The following is a 6352-nucleotide window of genomic DNA, read 5'->3' on the forward strand; positions in this document are numbered from 1 at the left end:
GAGGCCAAGGGTCTTCAGTCACCTGGAGCTGATCTTCCCTCCCTCCCCCAGGGCTGTCCCCCTCCCTCCCCCGGGGCTGATCCTCCCTCCCCAGGGTTGTCCCCCTCCCTCCCCTGAGGCTGATCCTCCCTCCCCCAGGGCTGATCCTCCCTCCCCTAAGGCTGATCCTCCCTCCCCTAAGGCTGATCCTCCCTCCCCCGGGGCTGATCCTCCCTCCCCAGGGTTGTCCCCCTCCCTCCCCTGAGGCTGATCCTCCCTTGTTGCACTTGTTCAGAGAAAAACTTCAGGCAAATTAAAGCTGATTGAGGAGGGAACGATTCTCAGCTGGGCAGCCCCTGGGGGCGGAATAGGTTCTGAGAGACTCCAGGGTGGCCCCGCGGTTGGATAGCATTTGCCCACAGAGATGGAGGTGACGTCCAGAAACAGCCGGCTTGGTTGCTGCAGGAGTGGGTCACGTCTGTACACCTGCAGTTAGGTACAGTTCACTACAGACCTAGAAACCTTTAGGCGGAACTCACAATACAGAAGGAGGCAGCTTTCTGCTAAGCTGAATGTAACACATTTATGATTGTTACCACAGAGCACCCATGCTCCTGACCCTGTGCCAGCATTTTATGTGAGAAAGAAAAGAAACTTTTAATCTGAGGAATGTGAGCTCCGTTAAATTATCAGGCCCAGAGAGGCATTAAAATGTGACAGCAGCCACGTCCCACTCCCCCTCGAGCTAGAGAACGACCTCTTGAATCTGCCAGCTGTATGGGCTCTAGGCTGACACCGGGTAGCCATAAAGTGCCTCCTGCTGGACCCTGTAACTCATCCTCTAGAATCAATGGTGACGGCCAATCACCGATCCATGCTGTCTCTTAAACCAATGAGAACTCCTGTCAGAGGACTTTGTATCCGCCCACTCCTTACCTGCTTTGCCTTTAAAACCTGCTTGTAACAAAGGCCGAGGTAGCACCCCCAATGTCCCAGCCACCGTCCTCAACCTTGACCCAAATAAACTCTCTCTGTTCATTGTGCCTCAGTTTCTTTCTTGTGATTGACAGTGGTCATTATCACAGAAGTCCTCACTCGATGTAGGGGCTACCAAAACCACATCCCTGCCGAGACCGTGAGCCCTGGGGCGCAGGCATCCTGCCCGTCACAGCCCACAGGTCCCTATTCTTTAAAATCGCCCATCCGTGCTTTCTGTCACTTACTCATTCACACCGCGATATTCATGGGGCACAGGTGTGCTGTGTCCCGCTCCAGGGTCTGGGGTTGTGACAACAATAAGGAAGATGAAACCGCAGTGCTGTGGACTCAGCATCGTTGGCGGGACCCCCAGGGCTTCCCTCATCCCTTCTGTGGGTCTGGCGCGTGGCAGGTGCATGTGTGCTGGTGGCCTATGCACTGTGAGCTGTGGCAGGACACCCTGCAGGGAGGGCCTGGCTCCTGGCCCAGGCCTGAGCCCCAGAGCCCCCTAGAAGGATGATCTCAAACTTCAGATGCTCAGGGCTGGCCAGGCCACACCTTTGTGTCTATGGATCTGTTTCCTCTTCATTTATTGCAAAAAAAAGGAAAAAATGCGAAGCCGAGGAATCCACTCCCCGCTCTGCCCAGAGGAAAGAAGACACAAAACAAAAGGCAGGAAAGCCTGCAGGTCGGGAGAGAAATGGCACCGAGTGTGGCCAATCAGCTTCCAGACAGTCTAAGGCCTCAGTGCTTCATAAAAATAAATTGGCTGTGCGTACTTGAAACAGGAGGTTTATGACACCCGGAAGCCAGTGCACTCTTTTTTCATGCAAATAAGGATGTCAAGTCTGCCTGTGCCCGGGGATGTGGGCTCCCTCCCTCCCCTGGTCCCCCTCTTCCCTCTCCCGCTCCCCCTCTCTGCACAGGTGCCTAATGGTAATATCTGGTGTTTACTGAGCACCTAAGTGGAGGCCCTGTGCTAAGGTGCTAAGGACTTTGCATGTTCTCAATCAATCCCCTCAGCAACTCCATGAGGATGGATACAACTATTCTCGTGCCATTTTACAGATCAGCGAAGTGAGGGCCCAAGGGGCAGAAGCACGGCCAGGAAGCAACGCGCCAACTCCAAGCCCAGGCGCTGGCTGGGGTCTGAGTGAGGAGGGGTCCGGCTCCCTCTCCCACCTCTCATGGGGGCTGCCTGGGGTGGGGGAAAGGCAGGGGCTTCACCCTCTGCCTGCAGGTCCACATTCAGGTGACCCTTGTCGCCTACCCACTGACTCCCTTTCTCTGGTTTTTCAAACATGAATACACACCATGCTGATGACAAACCCAGCCCCTGACACTTTGGTGAGAATAAGCTCGTTTTTCTTCCTAAGAGGAGACGACTGGAGGAAAATGTTGGCGTCTCCGTCGCTGACCCTCCGTCTCGCTGGTGGAGGATGTGAGGCTGGAAGAGGGAGAGGAAGTCGCCCCTAAACCAGGGATCTCTGACATGGCTTTGGGGATTTGTCCTGGCTTCTTCAAGTGTTTTTCCAAAATACTTAAAAATAACATTCTCTTAACTCAATGTAACTACGAAGTATGTGCGCCCTGGCCCTCTCGGGGAGTGCGTCATGAATTCCCCAGTGGTGAGGAGGTGTCAGAGCTCAGAACACACAGCGGCCGGGCCCCACAGGAGGCTGCCAACCCTGCACCAGAAAACAATCCCATGACATCCCTAGGGTGCAATGCCTTGCAATGCCTCACGCCTGGAGCACCCCCCCGCCCGCACACATACACAGCACCCCCTCTTCAGTCTCACACCAAGGCCTGGAGCGCCGAGCTCTGAGCCACGCCTTCCTCCACCGAGGAGCCGGCTGGGCGTCCTGGAACCCTGGCTCAGGCTTCTCCTGGCACAGCCCGTCTCCACCCGGCTGGGCCTGGCAGAGGGGCCCAGGGAGACCTGTCTCTGGTCCCCACTCCCCTGTGTGCTTCCTCTCTGACCCTCCTGGTGCCTCCCCTCCCCTGTGCCTGGCAGCCTCTCCCAGGGTCGCAGTGCCTGGGGCCTTCACTGTGGGACCAGCCTTGCTTTAGTCACTCTCGGCCGTCTTTCCTCTCCCTGGGCTCAGATTTCCTTGGGAGCTTCTCTAGCATTTTATTTTACCTTGCAGTTGTGTTTGCTTTCAGCAGGCTGCTTGTCCCTGTTTCAAAACAAGGAGGATACAAACCCCACAATCCAACCCGCTGGCACCCCGGCCAGCTCTCAGCAGCCCCAGGAAGCCCCGGGCTCCCTGCCAGGCTGGGGCTTTCTCCTGGCGTCTGCCCAACCTCACACGGCATGAGGCACCCTGGTCTCCAGCCCCCGGTCCCCTTCCCTTCCCCTAAAGGCTGTTCTGTTCCATCCTGCCCTGCTCCAGGCTCCAGCAGAGTTGCACACTTTGACATACACGACATGGGGGCCGCTAGACACACGGTGTCTGCAGATCTGACATCTCCCCACACACCCGCCCTCCAGCCTCGGGGACGTGGTCTCTCCTGCTGGGCCCTTCTGGTCTCTTCTGCTAACGGCCCCCAAGTCTGTCCTGGACCTTCTGTCCCTGTCCCCAGCCTTCCCTCCTCTCCTTTGTCTCTCTGCCCTGGCCCACAAGCTCCCTGAGTCCCCAGCCAGAAAGGGCTCTGGAGGATGTGCTGCTGCCAGAAAAGTGGGTCCCGATCCAGACCCCAACACGGGTTCTTAGATCTCACTCAGGAAAGAATTCAAGCGAGTCACAGAGCTCTGCGAAAGAGGCAAGTTGATTCGAAATGACTTCATTACAGAGTAGGGCGTCCTCCAAAAGCGGGAGGATGAAGGCAGCATCCTCCACTGGTGCTGCCATTTCGTAAGAAACCATCAGGAGCTCTAACTGAGCCTGGAACGTGCAGATGCTCTCACTCAACCGAGGACTGTCAGTGACCGTGCATCCTCCAGCCTCAGCCGCTAACTGTCCTCATCCCTGAGCACAGTGGCCTGCACTCTCAGGACATCTGGATGTCCTGCAGGCTTGCCAGGAGATGTCCTGTATGGCCATAAATATTCTGCAATTATCACTGGTGGTCAGCTTAGGATGTGGCTATTTTCAGAACACAAGCATTACCTTACAGGTGCCTTGTGAGTGCCTAGTTACACACTTCAAGATGGAGTCATTCTGGTCACGTTTTATTAAACCAGGGACCTGGTGAGCAGGGGTCCCACACCTCTCCCTGCTCCCTCTGAACGCCCCCCACCACACACTTGCTGCAGGGGCCACCTCTCTCCTGGACTCCAGCCCCTGCTATCTGCCTCTGCACCGACAGGCACATGCCCACCCACCTGACTGGATAGCATGGACCTCCCCGCTGGGACACGCAGCCACTCCCTTGGAGTCTGCAGCCAGCTCTCTGGGCTCACCTCCTCCCTTTGATCCCCCACAGGCCCTTCCAAAAACTCCCAGGTCCCCAGTGGCTTCCCTGACCAATGAGGGGAGGGGGCGCTTGTCTGGGGAGGGCTATCCGGTGCTTTCTCACCAAGATGGCTCTGCCTGGCCTCTCCCGGCAGTGCAGAGCCTGGTGTCACTGGCAACTGGGCACACACCTGTCCCCGGATGTTTCAGGTCTCGGTGTTCCCCATGGATATGTAGCGCTGTCCCCCTACGTAGTCTCACCCTGCACATTTTTCCTTCATTTTCGGCCCTTGGTCCAACCCTGATTTCTTTGGGGCTCCCCATGTCCAGTGGTTGCGGGTGACATTCCTCTGGACTGTAACCCACACCAGGCAGCTTATCCCAGATGAGAGACAGGCAAGCTTTGGGCAGAGCCTGGAGGGGATCTGCGGAACCGCCCATCGTCTGTGACAGACCAGGGGCTGGGGCTGGGGACCTGGGAGCCTCCGAACCTCTTGCGGGTCACGGAAGGAACTTGAATGCGACCTGCCTGCACGGAGGGGTGGGGTGGGTCCAAAATCACCTCCCTGAGGACAGGAATCCTGGTCACGGTTCAGCGGCCCTGTGGGGTTGCTTGTATCAGGGGCTGGTGTCTGCCCTGTCATTCACGTAATCCCCTACGGTCTTCCCAGGGGGTGGGGTCAGGATCCCCCGGTAGACAGGCACGAGATGCAGACAGCTGTGCTGTGAGTGTCTGAACACACAAGCGGACAACCGCCCAGCCATCCTGAAATGCAGAGCTCAGACCACACCTGCAGCTGCTGGCCCAGGGAACCAAGCCCAGCCTCGGCACCCAGCCGAGAAGCCAGCTGCATGGCAGACTTGCAGGGAGGCGACTGCTCTCCCTCGACAACCAGGAGGCTAAACAGCAGCTCTAACAGTCGGCCCTTCATGGCCAGGGCTTGTGTGTGATGTGTATGGTGTGTGTGATGTGTATGGTGTGTGTGTTGTGTAGTGTGCTGTGTAGTGTGTGTGTGCTGTATAGTGTGTGTTGTGTGTGCTGTGTGTGTGTGTGTGTGATGTGTGGTGTGTATGTGTGTGTGGTGTGCGTGTGTGTGTGTTGTGTGTGTTTGTGTGTGGTGACCCTGACCCTGACCCTAACCTTGTCACTGTGGCAGGAGGTGAGAGGGCCCTGAGGCAGCTGGGGGCCCTGGGGTGAAAGGAAGGGGTGGTAGAGTGAGGGAGTGCTCAGGGCTCCCCAGGGAAACGCTGTCTCAGGGAGGCAGAGGTGGAAGAAAACACCCTTGCGTGTGTCAGAAGCAGCCACACAGTTAGAACTCTGACGGGGACACCTGGGTTGTGGCCCTTCTCCTGCCCAGCCTTCCACAGTGGGTGGCAGGGGGGTCTGCAGGCTGGAGGCAGGTTGGGGGTGCCCTCCCTGCCAGCCAAGCCAAAGTGACAAGAATTCAGAGGAGCTGGGGAGCGGAGGGTGGGCTGTGGACGGGGCCGAAGACCAGAGCTGAGCTGGCCTCAGAAGGCCCCAGAGCCCGTCTGGTTGTCCCCTTGGACAGATGGGGCATGCGACGCCCACAGTGAGGAGGGCCTGCCCCAGGATCTCACGGGGTGAGGGAACAGCAAAGGGAGGCTATACAGCTGGGATCCGATACCCAGTCTAGGGTTCCTAATAGCTTCCCACGACCTGTGCCGGGCAGGGGCAGGTGCCCAGGGCACCCCTGCATGTGTGCAGCATTCTCAGAGCTAGTGCCTTCCAAAATGAAAATATTCACCAGGGCCTGGCCACTTATCTAACATACCCTGCCCACCACCAGCCTTGTCCTCAGGCACAAAACCCAGACCTTCCGGAAGATTCTATATGCATCAAAATACTCCAAAAGGATTTTGCAAACCTTGCAACAACAAATAAAAAGGTCTGAATTCTTGAAGCTCACAGGAGTGATCTGGAGCTGTCGGGAGTCTCACACAGTGTCTGATGGAGAGGGGCTGTGGGGGAAACGCGC

The 6352-nt window shown here is 57.3% G+C and overlaps 1 annotated feature.

The window, feature by feature from the left end:
- Positions 5106-5750: an enhancer, noted in NCBI's record as "H3K4me1 hESC enhancer chr4:3662253-3662897 (GRCh37/hg19 assembly coordinates)". NCBI's record gives its function as "activates a minimal SCP1, AML or CMV promoter by ChIP-STARR-seq in naive H9 embryonic stem cells {active_cell/tissue: H9 hESC(naive)}" and the evidence as "EXISTENCE:reporter gene assay evidence [ECO:0000049][PMID:30033119]".

The sequence above is a fragment of the Homo sapiens genome, chromosome 4 (genome assembly GCF_000001405.40).
Source record: "Homo sapiens chromosome 4, GRCh38.p14 Primary Assembly".
NCBI classification, from domain to species: Eukaryota; Metazoa; Chordata; class Mammalia; order Primates; family Hominidae; genus Homo; species Homo sapiens.